The 19,142-nt window shown below is 40.1% G+C and overlaps 1 protein-coding gene across 2 annotated transcripts in view; it reads left to right on the forward strand.

Annotated features, from left to right (window-relative positions):
- Positions 1-19,142, forward strand: part of GAN (gigaxonin) — a 75,848-nt gene that overhangs the window by 25,580 nt on the left and 31,126 nt on the right. Inside the window, exons 2-5 of one of the 2 annotated variants that reach the window (NM_022041.4) lie at positions 11,042-11,156; positions 13,864-14,214; positions 16,244-16,461; positions 17,269-17,390. In NM_022041.4, coding sequence (NP_071324.1) covers positions 11,042-11,156; positions 13,864-14,214; positions 16,244-16,461; positions 17,269-17,390 — 806 coding nt within the window. The remainder of the gene's footprint in view (positions 1-11,041; positions 11,157-13,863; positions 14,215-16,243; positions 16,462-17,268; positions 17,391-19,142) is intronic. The other variant, NM_001377486.1, reaches the window with a different exon arrangement.

Raw genomic sequence — 19,142 nt, forward strand, 5'->3', positions numbered from 1 at the left:
GGCCTCTCTGTTAGAAGGAAAACTAACAAACAGAAAGGAATAGCATCAACATCAACAAAAAGGACATCCACACCAAAACCCCACCCATAGGTCACCAACATCAAAGACCCAAGTAGATAAAACCACAAAGATGGGGAGAAACCAGAGCAGAAAGGCTGAAAATTCTTTGGAGGAGAAGAGAATACCTCTTCTCCTCCAAAGGAATACAACTCCTTGCCAGCAAGGGAACAAAACTGGATGGATAATGAATTTGATGAGTTGATAGAAGTAGGCTTCAGAAGGTCAGTAATAACAAACTTCTCCAAGCTAAAGGAGCATGTTTTAACCCATCGCAAGGAATCGAAAAGCGTTCAAAAAGGGTTAGACAAATGGCTAACTAGAATAACCAGTGTAGAGAAGACCTTAAATGACCTGATGGAGCTGAAAACCACAGTATGAGAACTTCATGAAGTATACACAAGCTTCAGTAGCTGATTCGATCAAGCAGAAGAAAGGATATCAGTGACTGAAGATCAGATTAATGAAATAAAGCAAGAAGACAAGATTAGAGAAAAAAGGAGTGAAAAGAAATGAAGAAAGCCTTCAAGAAATATGGGACTATGTGAAAAGACCAAATCTACATTTGTTTGGTGTACTTGAAAGTGATGGGGAGAATGGAACCAAGTTGGAAAACACTCTGCAGGATATTATCCAGGAGAACTTCCCCAACCTAGGGAGGCAGGCCAACATTCAAATTCAGGAAATACAGAGAATGCCACAAAGATACTCCTCGAGAAGAGCAACCCCAAGACACATAGATTCACCAAGGTTGAAATGAAGGAAAAAATGTTAAGGGCAGCCAGAGAGAAAGGTCGGGTTACCCACAAAGGGAGCCCATCAGACTAACAGTGGATCTCTCTGCAGAAACCCTACAAACCAGAAGAGAGTGGGGGCCAATATTCAACATTCTTAAAACTATTTTCAACCCAGAATTTCATATCTAGCCAAACTAAGCTTCATAAGTGAAGGAGAAATAAAATCCTTTACAGACAAGCAAATGCTGAGAGATTTTTGTCACCACCAGGCCTGCCTTACAAGAGCTCCTGAAGGAAGCACTAAACATGGATAGGAACAACCGGTACCAGCCACTGTAAAAACATGCCAAATTGTAAAGACCATCGATGCTGTGAAGTAACTGCATCAATTAACAGGTGAAATAACCAGCTAGCATCATAGTGACAGGATCAAATTCACACATAAGAATATTAACCTTAAATGTAAATGGGCTAAATACCCCAATTGAAAGACACAGATTGGCAAATTGGATAAAGAGTCAAGACCCATCAGTGTGCTGTGTTCAGGAGACCCATCTCACATGCAAAGACACACATAGGCTCAAAATAAAGGGATGGAGGAAGATCTACCAAGCAAATGGAAAGCAGAAGAAGCAGGGGTTGCAATCCTTGTCTCTGATAAAACAGACTTTAAACCAACAAAGATCAGAAGAGACAAAGAAGGCCATTACATAATGGTAAAGGGATCTATTCAACAAGAAGAGCTAACTATCCTAAATACATATCCACCCAATACAGGAGCACCCAGATTCATAAAGCAAGTTCTTAGAGACCTACAAAGAGACTTAGACTCCCACACAATAATAATGGGAGACTTTAACACCCCACTGTCAATATTAGACAGATGAATGAGACAGAAAATTAATAAGGGTATGCAGAACTTGAACTCAGCTCTGGACCAAGCAGACCAAATAGACATCTACAGAACTCTCCACCCCAAATCAACAGAATATACATTCTTCTTAGCACCACATTGCACTTATTCTAAAATTGACCACATAATTGGAAGTAAAGCACTCCTAGGCAAATGTAAAAGAACAGAAATCACAACAAACTGTCTCAGACCACAGTGCAATCAAATTAGAATTCAGGATTCAGACTCTCACTCAAAACCGCACAACTACATGGAAACTGAACAACTTGCTCCTGAATGATTACTGGGTAAATAACGAAATGAAGGCAGAAATAAAGATTTTCTTTGAAACCAATGAGAACAAAGACACAACGTACCAGAATCTTTGGGACACATTTCAAGCAATATGTAGAGGGAAATTTATAGCACGAAATGCCCACAAGAGAAAGCAGGACAGATCTAAAATCCACACCCTAGCATCACAATTAAAAGAACTAGAGAAGCAAGAGCAAACACATTCAAAAACTAGCAGAAGACAAGAAATAACTAAGATCAGAGCAGAACTGAAGGAGATGGAGACACAACCCTTCAAAAAATCAATGAATCCAGGAACTGGTTTTTTGAAAAGATCAGCAAAATGGTTAGACTGCTAGCAAGACTAATAAAGAAGAAAAGAGAGAAGAATCAAATAGACGGAATAAAAAATGATAAAGGGGATATCACCACCGATCCCAAAGAAATACAAACTACCTTCAGAGAATACTATGAACACCTCTACAGAAATAAACTAGAACATCTAGAAGAAATGGATAAATTCCTGGACACATACACCCTCCCAAAACTAAACCAGGAAGAAGTTGAATCTCTGAATAGACCAATAACAGGTTCTGAAATTGAGGCAATAATTAATAGCCTACCAACCAAAAAAAAGTCCAGGACCAGACGGATTCACAGCCGAGTTCTATAAAGAGGAGCTGGTACCATTCCTTCTGAAACTATTCCGATCAATAGAAAAAGGGGGAATCCTCACTAACTCATTTTATGAGGCCAGCATCATCCTGATACCAAAGCCTGGGAGAGACACAACAAAAGAGAATTTTAGGCCAATATCCCTGATGAACATTGATGTGAAAATCCTCAATAAAATACTGGCAAGCCGAATCCAGCAGCACATCAGAAAGCTTATCCACCACGATCAAGTTGGCTTCATCCCTGGGATGCAAGGCTGGTTCAACATATGCAAATCAATAAACATAATCCATCACATAAGCAGAACCAACGACAAAAACCACATGATTATCTCAACAGATGTAGAAAAGGCCTTTGACAAAATTTGGCAGCCTTTCATGGTAAAAACTCTCAATAAACTAGGTATTGGTGGAACATATCTCAACATAATAAGACCTATTTACGACAAACCCAGAGCCAATATCATCCTGAATGGGCAAAAATTGGAAGTATTCTCTTTGAAAACTGACACAAGACAAGGATGCCCTCTCTCACCATTCCTATTCAACATAGTATTGGAAGTTCCGGCCAGAGCAATCAGGCAAGAGAAAGCAATAAAGCGTATTGAAATAGGAAGAAAGGAAGTCAAATTGTCTCTGTTTGCAGATGACATGATTGTATATTTAGAAAATCCCATCATCTCAGCCCAAAATCTTCTTAAGCTGATAAACAACTTCAGCAAAGTCTCAGGATAGAAAATGAATGTGCAAAATCACAAGTGTTGCTATACACCAATAACAGACAACAGCCAAATCATGAGTGAACTCCCATTCACAATTGCTACTAAGAGAATAAAATACATAGGAATACAACTTACAAGGGATGTGAAGGACCTCTTCAAGGAGAACTACAAACCACTGCTCAAGGAAATAAGAGAGGACACAAACAATGGAAAAACATTCCATGCTCATGGATAGGAAGAATCAATATTGTGAAAATGGCCTTACTGCCCAAAGTAATTTATAGATTTAATGCTATCCCCATCAAGCTGCCGCTGACTTTCTTCACAGAATTGGAAAAACTACTTTAAACTTCATATGGAAGCAAAAAAGAGCCCGCATAGCCAAGAGAACCCTGGACAAGAAGAACAAAGAACAAAGTCAGGAGGCATCACGCTACCTGACTTCAAACTTTACTACAAGGCTGCAGTAACCAAAACAGCATGGTACTGGTACCAAACAGATATATAGACCAATGGAACAGAACGGAGGCCTCAGAAATGACACCACACATCTACCACCATCTGATGTTTGACAAACCTGACACAAGCAATGGGGAAAGATTCCCTATTTAATAAATCATGCTGGGAAAACTGGCTAGCCGTATGCAGAAAACTGAAACTGGACCTTCTTACATCTTATACAAAAATCAACTCAAGATGGATCAGAGACTTAAACATAAGACCTAGGACCATAAAAATCCTAGAAGAAAACCTGGGCAATACCATTCAAGACAAAGGCATGGGCAAAGACCATGTCTAAAACACCAAAAGCAATGGCAAAAAAGCCAAAAACGACAAATGGGATCTAATTAAAGAACTTCTGCACAGCAAAAGAAACTACCCTCAGAGTGAACGGGCAACCTACAGAATGGGAGAAAATTTTTGCAATCTATGCATCTGACAAAGGGCTAATATCCAGAATCTACAAAGAACTTAAACAAATTTACAAGAAAAAAGCAAACAACCCCATCGAAAAATGGGCAAAGGATATGAACAGTCACTTCTCAAAAGAAGACATTTATGCAACCAACAGACATGAAAAAATGCTCATCATAACTGGCCATTAGAGAAATGCAAATCAAAACCACAATGAGATACCATCTCACACCAGTTAGAACGGCGATCATTAAAAAGTCAGGAAAAAACCGATGCTGGACAAGTTGTGGAAAAATAGGAACACTTTTACACTGTTGGTGGTAGTGTAAATTAGTTCAACCATTGTGGAAGACAGTGTGGCGATTCCTCAAGGATCTAGAACTAGAAATACCATTTGACCCAGCAATCCCATTACTGGGCGTATACCCAAAGGATTGTAAATCATTGTACTATAAAGACACATGCACACATATGTTTGATGCGGCACTATTCACAATAGCAAAGACTTGGAACCAACCCAAATGTCCATCAATGATAGACTAAGAAAATGTGGCACATACACACCATGGAATACTATGCAGCCATAAAAAAGGATGAGTTCATGTCTTTTGCAGGGACATGGATGAAGCTGGAAACCATCATTCTCAGCAAACTGTCACAAGATCAGAAAACCAAACAATGCATGTTCTCACTCATAAGTGGAAGTTGAACAATGAGAACACATGGACACAGGGAGGGGAACATCGCACACTGGGGCCTGTTAGGGGTGGGGGCCTAGGGGAGGGATAACATTAGGAGAAATATCTGATGTAGGTGACGGGTTAATGGGTTCAGCAAACCACCATGGCACATGTATACCTGTGTAACAAAATTGTACGTTCTGCACATGTAACCCAGAGCTTAAAGTATAATAATAATTTTAAAAGAGGGCTTCTTGTAACCTTTTCCCTGATAGCCTAGTTTCCCCCATCCTACCACTGTCTGCAAGACGCATGCAAGTTTTCCACAGACAGGAGTTCTGGGGATGGTTTCAGGGTGTAACCGTTCCACCTCAGATCATCAGACATTAGATTCTCACAAGGAATGTGCAATCTGGATCCTTCACATGCCCAGTTCACAATAGGGTTCGTGCTCCTATGAGAATCTAATGCCACATGCGCAAGCAAGTACAGCTAGCTCTTGGTTGAACCTGGGTTACTTTAAAATAAGAACTCTAATTCTATCCTGAAGCTCCTCTATCTGAACATGTTTTGGAGATACCTCCTCTAAATTTTTTAGTGGCTGTTAGTGTCCATCTGGGTCTAGTCAGGAGAGAGAAACCACAGAACAGTTTGAGCAAAGAAAATTTAATATAAAGAATTATTAACTACAGCAGGAGATTGGAGTAATGAGGGACTGGCCAGTAAGAAGTAAAGAAAACTCTAAAAAATACAGGAATAGATATATGGAGCATCTGCTACCCCAGAGCTGACTTATTAGGACACACCCATGGCTCACTGCATGGCAGAAAAGCCACATTGTGGAACTTGTTGGAAATCTGTCTTCTAAGGCCTTAGGACTGGGCCATGGCCTTAGGACTGGGCCACACAGTGGGAGGTGAGGCCCTGGTGATGGAGCTTTCCTGCCTGAGCTCCGCCTCCTGTCAGATCAGTGGTGGCATTAGATTCTCATAGGAGCGCGAACCCTATTGTGAATTGGGCATGTGAGGGATCTAGGTTGCATGTTCCTTGTGAGAATCTAATGCCTGATGATCTGAGGTGGAACAGTTTTACCCTGAAACCATCCCCACAACTCCCTTCTGTGGAAAGATTGTCTTCCACGAAACCAGTCCCTGGTGCCAAAAAGGTTGGGGACTGCTGCTCTAAGATGCCTGAGAAAGCTGTTCATGGGAAGGTACTTGAAGGAGGCTCTGGGGAAAACTTCAGGGTGTGGTTGCAGCTGTGCACTGTGGGAGCCTGGTGCTGGGAGAGAAGACTGCCTGGCAGGAGGCAGGTCTCTTCACCAGAACCAGCAAGCAAAACTCTCACCTCCTCCAGTGTCTCTCCAGTGCCTTTAACTGAAGCTTAACATCGTGCTATTTGACAAAGGAAAATGATTTAAAAGGATCAGATCCATTTTTCCAAAGCAAGCAAAAAAGGGTGAATTTGGAGCTGAGAGGCTATATATGTTGATAACCAGCACAGTGACTGAGAAATACAAATAGTCATGACATCCTAAGTGAAGACATGTCTGCTGCCAAAAAGATTATATGATGCATTTCAAAGCCAGATATTTCGGTATTTTATTCTTACACTGTTTTCTCTCTTGACGGAGAATTGACTCAAATTCTTTCCTTCACTTTTAATAAAAGCATCAGGCAAATAGATACACCTAGACAACAGCCAGTGGCAATGAAGTACCTTTTGAGTAAAACCATTAGTTCACTGGAAACTGTACGGGCAGGAATAGTAGACAGGAAATACAGGGAGGAAAGAAAGTTGTCTAAATACCCTCTGTATACTGTCATACACATTATATATTTGATGTTAAAGATGTACAAGGGCCTTCTACTGTCACCAGAATGGACTGGCTTCCTTCTGCTGGTACATAGCTGTCATTCCAGGATCATTCTTCACCATTATTGTGCATCCCTTTCACTTCCTTCCTGTTTGGATTGCATCTTGTTAGTATCCAGAATCTTCCACTTTCTTGATATATTCCTTTGTTTTTTTGGGGCACATTTTCTAACACCATCCCGAGAAAGGTTGCATGGGAAGTAAATTGTTTTGTGACTTCATATAGCTGAAAATGTCTTTGTTCCCCCCTGCCACTTGATTGATAGTTTGGCTGGTTATAAAAATCTAGGTCTGAAATAATTTTCTTTCAGAATTTTAAAGTAATTTCTTCTTTATTATTTAACTTTCATTTACAAGTATGAAGCCATTCTGATTCTTGATCCTTTCCATATAGCCTATTTTTCTTTCTGAAAGCTTGTAAGACTTTTTTCTTTATTTCTCGTATCCTGAATTATTATGATGATGTGCTCTGGAGTGGGTCTATTTTCATCCGTTACTGAGAGTACTTCCTTAATAGTCTTATCTTTTTTGGTTGGGGGGACATTACTTTTTTTCAGGTGTTGAACCTTCTGGACTGATCTTCCAGTTTTCTTAACTTATCTCTCATTTTCTTTTTTAAAAAATTATTTAATAAATTTTAAAAAAAATAGAGGTGGGGTGTCGCTGTGTTGCCCAGTCTGGTCTTGAACACCTGGGCTCAAGCAGTCCTTCCAAAGTGCTGGGGTTATAGGCATGAGCCATGTGCTCAGCCATCTGTCATATTTTCTGCCTTTGTCTCTTTGTTCTCTTTTCTAGGAGATTTCCTCAACTTTTTATCTTGACCCTACATTTAAAAAAATTTTTTTTTCAATCATTACCATTTTTTGCTGGCTTATGAATGTTTCTTTTTATGTCATCGTACTCTTGTTTTATGTACACAATATCCTGTCTTTTCCCTCTGGGAAGATTACGATGAATTTTTCTTTTTTCCTTGAACTTTTCATTTTAGCACAATCTTTACTTCCTTTAAGTTACCTTTTTTCTTATCAGTTTTGTTCCTGTCTTTTATCTTTGTTAAATATCTAATGAGTCCTGTTTGCTTGATTTTAAGAGCAGTGCTCTAAAACAGTTTCTTAACCAATGTGCCAAAAAAACATGTTGCAAGTATGTGAAGATACTGATGGTGTCAGTCTTCAGAGTAGCTGAGCAGCATCTCCAAATGCTGGGGGCCCTGTCCAGCCATGAGCCTACAGGCCGCCTCTGTTTAGCCCAGAGTAATACTACGTTTTCTGTGTATGATGTGACATGAGAAAGTTTTAGAAGTACAGCTTCAAAATGTGCAGGAAGCTCAGAGCCCTATAGGTTAGACTTGTTGAACACAGGTTTTGCTGTTGTGTGATCAAACTGGGTCATTTTCTTAGGGCAGATTGATGTCTGTGCCCTTGGGTCTGTACCCTTGGGCTGATCAAGTCCTCCAGAAGAGTCTTTGTTTCTTGCTTGGAAGATATGTTCTGGCTTTCAGTATTTTAGGAGCAGAGTTGAGAGAAAAAGACTAATGGTCCAGCATTCAGTATGTAAACATTCTGTTAACCCTCTCAGTTACAATACACCTACCCTCAAATGTGCCTGGTGCTCCCCTGTCCAGAGACTCTCAGTTGTATACTCTTCAAAATATAAGTCATTTGTCTTCCACTGGAGCTAGGGAGAGTCTTATTGAGCTCTACAGGGAAGATGTGTATCCACATGGAAGGAGAATCCGGAAATTCAACTATTTCCTAAGACTTTGTTAACAGTTCTGTTTTTAGCTTATCTTTCACCCCCTGCCCCACCCCGACCCCGTCCTCACCTACCCTGTACTACCAGTTCCCGGAGCCTTTGGGAAGTCTTCAGTCCAATTCAGGTTGAGTCTCGGCTTTGCTTACTGCTAAATTAGGATTAAGTTTCCTCAGATACTCCAAGTCAGTTACCCTTGTCTGTTTTCTAGCATATGAAATTTCATTGGCTGGGTGCGGTGGCTCATGCCTATAATCGCAGCACTTTGGGAGGCTGAGGTGGGCAGATCAGTTTAGGAGTTCGAAACCAGCCCGGGCAAGATGGTGAAACCCCGTCTCTACAAAAAGTACAAAAATTAGCTGGGTGTGGTGGTGTGAGCCTGTAGTTCCGGCTACTTGGGGGGCTGAGGCAGGAGAATCACTTGAACCCAGGAGGAGGAGGTTGTAGTGAGCCATGATTGCGCCACTGCACTCCAGACTGGGTGACAGAGTGAGACCCTGTCTCAAAAACAAAAATAAAAGAAATTTTGTTAATATTATTTCCTGTTCTGTTTGTATTCAGTCTACCAAAAGTCTGATCCTTTGTTGACTTTATTGTAGAAGTCTGAATGCAAATAATGAGTTTAAATATTTGTTTCTAAGAAGTTCTCCCTGTAACTCACTATTTGGATTACAGTATTTGAAGGTGTGCTTTTCTTTTCTTAGAAAACATGGTTGTTAGGTAGCAGGTAACACAGTGTCAATCTTGAGATTTAACAGAGTTATAATTCATACCAAGAGCATGTTTCAAAGCTATTTTTAAATTTCACTTGAATTTTTTTTTAAACCTTAAATTTTCTTAGTAAAAAATAACAGGAATATCTAGATATAAGTTCTTAAAACAAAAAGCATTGACCGAAAAATTGTTCTTCAAATTCTTCATCAGTTTGTTTAAGAAGTCTTTTTTTTTTAAGTTTTTTAAAAGGCCCCTTTTAAAAAGTTCATGTCTGTTAAATGATTAGTATCACAAATATGTAAAGAACTCCTACACCGCAATGTGAGGACAGTTAGTGAAAAATGAACAAGAAACATGAACAAACGTTTTGCAAAAGGGGAAACGTGGCTACAAACATACAAAGAGATGTTCAGCACCTGGGTAGTAAGAGAATGCAGATGATAACCACAGTGAGATACCATATTTCACTCATTCAATTGACAAAACTTAAGAAGTGTGACAGATTCAAATGTTGTAGAGTTTATGAATCCGCAGATGCCCTTACACATACATAGTATATGAGGCTGTAAACAGCGCCACCTACTATGGAGAATAAGTAGCATAATTCTACTCCCAGGAGTAGACCCAAGGGAAATTTTTGTTTATTTATTTATTTACTTACTTAATTTTTTTTTTTTTTTGAGGCAGAGTCTCGCTCTGTCACCTAGGCTGGAGTGCAGTGGCATTATCTCAGCTTACTGCAACCTCCATCTCCCAGGTTCGAGCTATTTTTGTGCCTCAGCCTCCTGAGCTGCTGGGATTGCAGGCGTATGCCACCACCACTCCCAGTCGATGTTTGCATTTTTAGTAGAGATGGGGTTTCACCATGTTGGCCAGGCTGGCCTCGAACTCCTGGCCTCAAGTGAGCTACCCACCTCGGCCTCCCAAAGTGTTGGGATTACAGGCGTGAGCCACTGCACCCAGCCGAAAAATTCTTTAACATAGCACAAAAGAGTCATATGCAATAATAGTCATAGCATCACAGTTTGCAATATCGAAAACCTGGAGACAACCCCAGATGCCCATCAACAGGAAAATGGGATATTGCACAGCAGAAAGAACTAAAGAACCAGTGTGATATGCACACCTCTATAAAATTTTAAGTCATTTATATAAAACAATAATGCAAAATGGATGACTAATTATAAAACAAGTTAAAATTTAAAATATATATTTCACGGATGCAGTAATAAAGCAAGGAAAAAGTGAGCATAGGATTTGGGATAATGGTTACTTCAGATGGTGGAAGCAGAGGAATGGATTGGTGGGGAAGACCATCTGGTTAGAAGCGGGCTATTGACAAGGTCTTAGCTTTTGTTTTGGATGGCAGGTTTGTGGAGTCCTTGTTACATTATTGAAGATTAATTAGAGAATTCAATACATTAGAAAATAAGCCTAAAGGGACTGGGATTTCCAAGGTGAAATACAGATTCATGGTCATGTGGATCTTAGTTCTTTGGTCATCTGTTTTGTTTTTGTTTTTTAAGAAGTAGCATTTGGGATCCTGGGACCAATGTTTTGTAGTTGAAAGTTATAGAAATACATAGACCTAAAGTTAACGAACTAAATTTTCTAGGTGGGGATTCATATACTGATAAGTATCTTATACGTTATAGAGTTTTGAGTACATAAATATTTATAGCTATTTCTGTTCTTTCATAGAAATTTTACATTTTTTTCCCTTTCTTAGGACAAAGTTAAACTATAATCCTCCAAAAGATGATGGATCAACTTATAAGATTGAACTTGAAGGGATATCGGTAATGGTTATGAGAGAGATCCTGGATTACATCTTCAGTGGGCAGGTATGATGAGAAACAAAGGAAGGAAGACCTAAGTAGAGGCTTCTCAAGCTCAGGGTGAGGGTCTCCTTTCATCCATTATATGACAAAGTAGCACTGTCATCTTCATCTTCTGTCACTGTGTGCATTGACTGACATTTCCTACTGGTAATGGCACCCCATGTGTGTTCTTCCATGGCTGTGCTCCTAGAGAAGCAGAGGAAGTAAGATCTTAGACTCAAATCTCAGTTTGTTGCTACCATTCTGAGCTCCACCTTCTCATATGAGATATTAAAGAACATGGGATGCTGCCCTGACTGCTGTGTTTTTGGTTTTTGCTTTGGAATCCCGATTCCAGTCTTGCTTTGTATCCATATGACTGGGGATACAAAACTTGTTTTGTCTCCATAGCATGGAAATAGGAACTTCCTGGGGCGTTGTGGATTATTTGGTAGAAATAGAGAGTTCCTTGTAGATCATTCCCAGAGAAAGATGACTGACAGACATGACAAGCACCTTATTCACGATGCCCTGGTCCTGTTGCCTCAGTAGTACCCACATCCCTGCCCCACCCTTATTCTCTCTTCCCTCTCCATGTCCACTTGAACCTCTGGGGACTTTGTGATACCCAGGGAGGAGAATGATAAACGATCAGACTTCTTTCTTTTCCTTTGCCCTCCTCCGACTACCCATTCCCCATGACGTGATTTCAAGCAAAGCATGAGGACTCAAGAAAAATCTTCCGTGTGAATCAGGGCTAGTTTTTTGTTTTGTTTTTTTAACAGAAGGAAGAGGTCAGTGCATCTTACCTTTGGCTGTGTGAGAATGCATTTCATCTTTATTCTTTCTGAGATCTTGTTCCCTACTCTCTCCTTTATTCTTTCTTTATCCCTCTTGTTTTCCTTTCTGTAGGGGCTGTTTGTCTTACATATTTTCTAAGTATTCTGAATGTATTGCTTTCTTTATCTAAATATATTCATTCTGTCCAGAGTTAAACGCAGTGATTCTCATCCTTTTTGAAGGTTTTGGTTTGATTTCATGCTTTCTCTCTTCTCTCAGCACTAGTGGGTGGGTGTGTACGTGTATGATTGTTAAAAGTAAATGAATTTAAGTTAATCTGGGGACAGCCCAGAGATGCTCTGTAGCATCACATAACCAGGGCTAAGACCAACCTCTCCTCCACCTTGTAAAGTCAATCCAGCAGCAGTTATTAGTATAATGAGTTATAAGCCAGTAAGAGCCTATTCATGTTCAGGCTTGGATTTGAAAGTTGAAACATTATTTACAGATTGAGTTCTGTGATTTGTTCCCAATTTAAATTTAAAACGATAGTTGGGGCCGGGCGCGGTGGCTCACGCCTGTAATCCCAGCACTTTGGGAGGCCGAGGCGGGTGGATCACGAGGTCAGGAGATCGAGACCATCCTGGCTAACACGGTGAAACCCCGTCTCTACTAAAAATACAAAAAATTAGCCGGGCGAGGTGGCGGGCGCCTGTAGTCCCGGCTACTCGGGAGGCTGAGGCAGGAGAATGGCGTGAACCCCAGGGGGCGGAGCCTGCAGTGAGCCGAGATTGCGCCACTGCACTCCAGCGTGGGCGACAGAGCGAGACTCCGTCTCAAAAAAAAAAAAAAACGATAGTTGGAATGTAAGTTATAACAAACTCCTGAATTGGCAGTTTTGTTTTATTGAAATGCAGTTGAGTGTTTTTTTCACGTGCCTATATTTGAAGAGTCTACAGCTGCCTGCTGTCTTGTGGCTAAATATAATGTCATATAAATGGAACATTTTCCCCTACTTGTGGCTTACTCACCATACTACTTTCCACATTTTTGTTGCTCAGTTTCTAAGATGATTGGCAATTATACTTTTTTAAAAATCTGTGGTACAAAAAGTGTAAAATGTAAAAATGTTTCTTGCTATACTCCTCATGAAGTCTCCCTTGCATTTGCGAATGTGGGTGAAGTGCCCATGCTTTGGGGTCGTCCACTTAGGACTGTGGCAATATTTTAGAGAACTGTTTCTTTCCTGATGCTTTGGAGCACTGTGAAGTCAGTGGAGGAAGAAGCATTAGTCAGAAAATTGAAGAAAATTAAGGAAAAGTAGATGTTCATAATGAGAAAAAAAAAACACCCTTGTATTAGGGATTTATTCCAAAAAGTAGTTTTGAGACCTAAGTGTATCTGTCTGTGTACCAAATTGCACTGCGTACAGTGTTTTGGGATGCGGAATGAGGCTTCTGAAACACTGGAAACCCCTCTCCCTTCAAGGGGTTAGCATTCAGGTTGGCATGCCATTTAGCGGAAGAGTGAACTTCATAGGTGGGGAGGCAAGATTTTCATCAGTTCTGATGCTGGTACTTAATCATGTTGACTTTACCATAGAATGTAGAACTTTCCATTTCCCAAGCATTTGAGTCATTAAGGTTTTTCTCTGAATTACAGAAGTGAACAACATGGACAGTTCACCCTAAAAGGGTTATTGGTGGTTGACATTGGTACAGCAAGGGCAGAGCTGGGAAAAGTTAACCAAGCACACATTTGCTTATGTTGGTGCCTTCCAACTCTTGGAAAAAAAAAAAAAAATGCTGGGTTAAACCATATGAAATTGCCAATATTCGATTATCTTTGATCTAAAATAAATGGAAATTTCATGTGGCCCCAATTAATAGGTTAGTGGTTTGGGTTTTAAATGTACACATTCAAATATAAGATAATTATGCTACTTTTTTAGATCAGGCTAAATGAAGATACAATCCAAGATGTTGTTCAGGCAGCTGACCTGCTGCTACTGACGGACCTTAAAACCCTGTGCTGTGAGTTTTTGGAAGGCTGCATTGCTGCTGAGAACTGTATTGGTATCCGTGACTTTGCACTACATTACTGCCTCCATCACGTTCATTACCTTGCCACAGAATACCTGGAGACTCATTTCCGAGACGTCAGCAGCACGGAAGAATTCTTAGAGCTGAGTCCTCAAAAGCTTAAAGAAGTGATTTCTCTTGAGAAGTTAAACGTTGGCAATGAAAGATATGTCTTTGAAGCAGTAATTCGATGGATAGCACATGATACAGAAATAAGAAAGGTACCTGTCATTTATAACATGGTCAAATTTGCCTTTTTATTTCTTTTTAATTCAAATTTTAGTTGTTTTATTTTTCTTCTTCATCATGAAAGACTTACGATGCAGCAATCTAAAAGATACCTGTAAAACATGTTCCCCTATATCATGAAAGCAGTTGGTTTTTCAGACCAGTCTGCAAAAGCCCATGCCACACAATATATCAGTGAAAATATTAGCCCTTGTAAGGAGCGTAATATCCTTTGTATGTTGTTTTTAATGGGAAAATGCATTTCAAGCTTAAGCTGGAGATTATAGAAACGCAGTATCCCCACCCTTGCTCTCAGCATCCTGACCTACTATATCACTAGGCTAACCTCTGCCAGGCCTCAGGTGCCTGCAGCAGGCAGGGGGGTGGCACGTGGATCGATGGCAGGGGTGGAGGGGCATGGGCCTGAGGAGCTTCAGGTGTGATTGACACCACGCAGGAGAAAGCAGGCAGGCTCTGGAGTTTGTGTGGCAGTGCAGTTTCAAGAGGGAAGGTTCTGGGAGTGAAGGTCTTAAAGAATATCAGCCTCTAGATCCAAATTGTGAATACCTTGGAGGAAGGAGCAAAATCACAGGACTTGAGGGTTTTGAGGGGGCAGAGAGTCTCAGTCTGTCTCCCAGGCTGAAGGGCAGTAGCCAGAGTGGCACGATCATAGCTCACTGCAGTCCCAACCTTCCTGGCTGAAGTGATCTTCCCACCTCAGCCTCCGAGTAGCTAGGACCACAGGCGTGTGCCACCATGCCTAGCTAATTGTTTGATTTTTGTAGAGACAGGGTCTCGCTGTGCTGCCCAGGCTGGTCTCAAACTCCTGTGCTCAAGCAATCCTCCCACTCTAGCTTCCCAAAGTGCTGGGATTACAAGTGTGAACCACCATGCCCAGCCAGGACTTCATTTTTAAGTCTGATTATTATAAATAAGACACTAGCTCCAATTACTGTTTTCAAAATAAGAAATATATTAGGTGTTAGAGAGTGGATCTCACAATGTATAATTTTACTGTTAATTGTTCTTGTAAGTTAAAACTGGACTGTTAAATTTTGATGATTATCTTATAATTTTTTGAATTCTGTAAGCCCATAAGTATGCATGTTTAGAAACCATATTTGTAGTATTGGTTTTAATTGGGACAGGTAAGGACAGGTAGTGTTCTGCTTTCCATGTTAGTTGGGGAAATTGGTAAAGGAGATAGAAAAATGAGAAAAATTTCCTATGTGCTCCCACTCACCAAGACCACAGTGGGACATGCTGCTCCTTGCCAGCTTCCGTCCTGCCCTCTTCTTGCCTTAAAGCAAGGGAGATGCTTAAGGTTGGCTGGTTGCTGGGAAAACGAGGCAGTTCTTTGTCCTTTGGTCAGTTTAAACTTCATGCTGTAAAGACAGTTGATTTTTAAAACTCACAGTTTTATTTTACATTTATAAAATACTTTCGTCAGTTCAAATTTAGTGATTGAGCAGTAAAAGTGTAAATTCATATTAGTCGTCTTAGATATTTTTGAACAGTAATTACTGCAAAAATGATTATATAGTACTCAGGTTTTTTTTTAAACTTTGGCTTTTGTATATTTTTCTTGTATTATTAATGTTGATGTCTAAGTTTACCATATTGTATTGAGCTATTACTGTATATAATATTTGTATAAACATGATTTAACTCATGGCACATCCAAATGTGTGAAATAAAGCAAATTATAGCTGGTTCTTTTCCTGTCTTTTCCTATTGAAATGGGAATCCTTTAAGGTGTAAAGGAAGCTGCTTGAAACTTTTACAGTGATACCTCAAATAAACTGATGATTTTTAAAAATTAAACTTTTACTTATCAAGACTCTGGGAAGTAGACAGTTAGGGCCAGGAGAAGATATTCAAGCAGCACGAGTGTGTCTCACTTGCCTGGTAATAACCTGAGTGTTAACAGTTTGTTTTCCATGAGGTGGAAAATGTAGATTCTAAAAATGATGTGTTGCATTTTCCATTGTTTTCGCCCCATCTTTCTTCCCTCTTCTGCAGGTCCACATGAAGGATGTTATGTCAGCTCTGTGGGTTTCAGGGTTGGACTCCAGTTATTTACGGGAACAGATGCTGAATGAACCATTAGTACGAGAAATTGTCAAAGAGTGTAGCAATATACCGCTCAGCCAGCCGCAGCAAGGGGAGGCGATGCTGGCCAACTTCAAACCCCGGGGCTACTCTGAGTGCATCGTGACTGTTGGTGGAGAAGAGAGAGTGTAAGTATGAGGTGGGACTTGTTTGAAAAGTGGTGTATGGGAAGAGGTAGTTCCATGTAAACAAGAATTCATAATGCTTTTCAGTATCTAAAACATAATTACATTTGATTTTTTTTTTTATACTTTAAGTTTTAGGGTACATGTGCACAATGTGCAGGTTAGTTACATATGTATACATGTGCCATGCTGGTGTGCTGCACCCATTAACTCATCATTTAGCATTAGATATATTTCCTAAAGCTATCCCTCCCCTCTCCCTCCACCCCGCAACAGTCCCCAGAGTGTGATGTTCCCCTTCCTGTGTCCATGTGTTCTCATTGTTCAGTTCCCACCTATGAGTGAGAATATGCGGTGTTTGGTTTTTTGTTCTTGCGATAGTTTACTGAGAATGATGATTTCCAATTTCATCCATGTCCCTACAAAGGACATGAACTCATCCTTTTTTATGGCTGCATAGTATTCCATGGTGTATATGTGCTACATTTTCTTAATCCAGTCTATCAATGTTGGACATTTGGGTTGGTTCCAAGTCTTTGCTATTGTGAATAGTGCCGCAATAAACATACGTGTGCATGTGTCTTTATAGCAGCATGATTTATAGTCCTTTGGGTATATACCCAGTAATGGGATGGCTGGGTCAAATGGCATTCCTAGTTCTAGATCCCTGAGGAATCGTCACACTGACTTCCACAAGGGTTTTTAAAAAATGTTTTAAATATTCTTTAGTAAACTAAAACTAGTGATGGCTACTTATAAAAAGAACTGTATGAAGCACATTAACTACTGATCACTTATTTACTTCCTTAGTTCACGGAAACCCACAGCAGCGATGCGATGCATGTGCCCTCTCTATGACCCTAACAGGCAGCTTTGGATCGAACTGGCCCCTTTAAGCATGCCGAGAATTAACCATGGAGTTCTCTCAGCAGGTACCGTTCTGTGGCAAATTTTCCTTAAACAGCAGATCAAGTAATGTGTAATCTCAAGGTTTTACAGAATGACTCAGAGCCTTTTAAAGATACAATTTTATTATCTCTACATGACATTTTTAGTGTAGTTCTAGCTTCTGAGACCGTGGTTAGGAAAACCGTATTTTCTGTCAGTCCTTATTATCTCTGTATCTTCAGCACATAGCTGCTTTTAAGAACTACTGGAGAAGCAGTTACTTGATGACTTAATGTCAGGAGAGCAAACTTCAGTGATGCTTACCACTAAGTAGCTGTAGGGCCACACCTGGAACACAGCGTTTCTTTGCACCATGGTAGTCCCATCTTTGAAATTCATGCAGCTTAGAATTACAATATGTAATTATATAAAATATGTTATATAAGGCCGAGTGTGGTGGCTCACACCTGTAATCCCCGCAGTTTAGGAGGCTAAAGTGAGAGGAGCCTAGGAGTTCAAGACCAGCCTGGACAATGTAGGAGAGAAACTGTCTTTACTAAAAATCAAAAAAATTAGCCAGGCATAGTGGCATGCACTTGTGGTCCCAGCTACTTGGGAGGCTGAGGTGGGAGAATCTCTTGAGCCCAGGAGATCGAGACTGCTGTGAGCCAAGATCACACCACTGCATTCCAGCCTGGGTGACAGAGTGAGACCCTGTCTCAAAAAAAAAAGAAAAAAAAAGAGAAGTTATGAGACTTTAGGAAATGCTACTTATATAGGCAATGGCTTAAAGTTATTTAGTATGGAAAATGCTTTACTTGACCTTTACAAGTTTGAAAACTGCTCTACTTTATCCAAAGCTCTCCCTTAAGGAGCTGATAGAAAAGATAGCCATTGAGGCATTGCCTTTGCTGGCTGCCTGTCTTTTCGCCGTGGTCCTGCTCCCTTGTCCACCTGATAAGTGTCATCTCATGTCATCCTAATTGTGGTCAGCAGCCCTCCTGCAGTCCTTATTTAATTGTGTTTGCTTGCCCAGCAACATTATCTTTAAAATTTTATTTTTTATTTTATTTTTCTTTTTAGAGATGGGATCTTGCAATGTTGCCCAGGCTATAATATTTTTAAAGCTATACTGTACCACAGTGCATCATACAAATGGCCAAGGCTCTACCATAGTATAGAAGTGGAGTCATTTTATGAGTCCCAAAATTATTAGTTATTGTCAGTAGTGAAGAGCTGGACAGAGTAGTATAGCCTGCAGGATGTAGGTCTAGTTTCCCTGTTGCATCTTCTCAGAATTAGCTCCCTTACATTTCCCCCAAAATATATACACATATTCCTAATTTTCACACATACACGTCTGTCACAAAGGCTCCTATATGACTAATATTTGAAAGTTTGCTAGAGGGATTGGTGTTTCAGAAACCCAGCAATGGAAGGAGCGACTGTGTACAGTGGAATTGATGGAAACAGAAGTGAGTGATTGAGGAGGTCCTTCCGTTTGTCCAGGCTGCATTGTTTTTTTTTTTTTTTTTGCCTTTTTAAAAATTGATTTTGACTGTTTTTTTGTCATTCAATTTTTCTTCTCTACCAGTTTGGGACTTACATTCTTGTTAATAGTCCTTTAGGAAGATTACCTTAGAAATTACAGCCTGTATTAAGTTAGCAAAGTCCAAAGTTAGTCAGTACCTGTGTTCTCTTCAGGAGAGTTTTTCTTCATTTTCCATTTTCCATACTCTTACAGTTTTAAAATGCATTATCACTAATAAATATGTACAGTAGATCCCCCTTATCAA

The sequence above is a fragment of the Homo sapiens genome, chromosome 16, assembly GCF_000001405.40.
Source record: "Homo sapiens chromosome 16, GRCh38.p14 Primary Assembly".
NCBI classification, from domain to species: domain Eukaryota; kingdom Metazoa; phylum Chordata; class Mammalia; order Primates; family Hominidae; genus Homo; species Homo sapiens.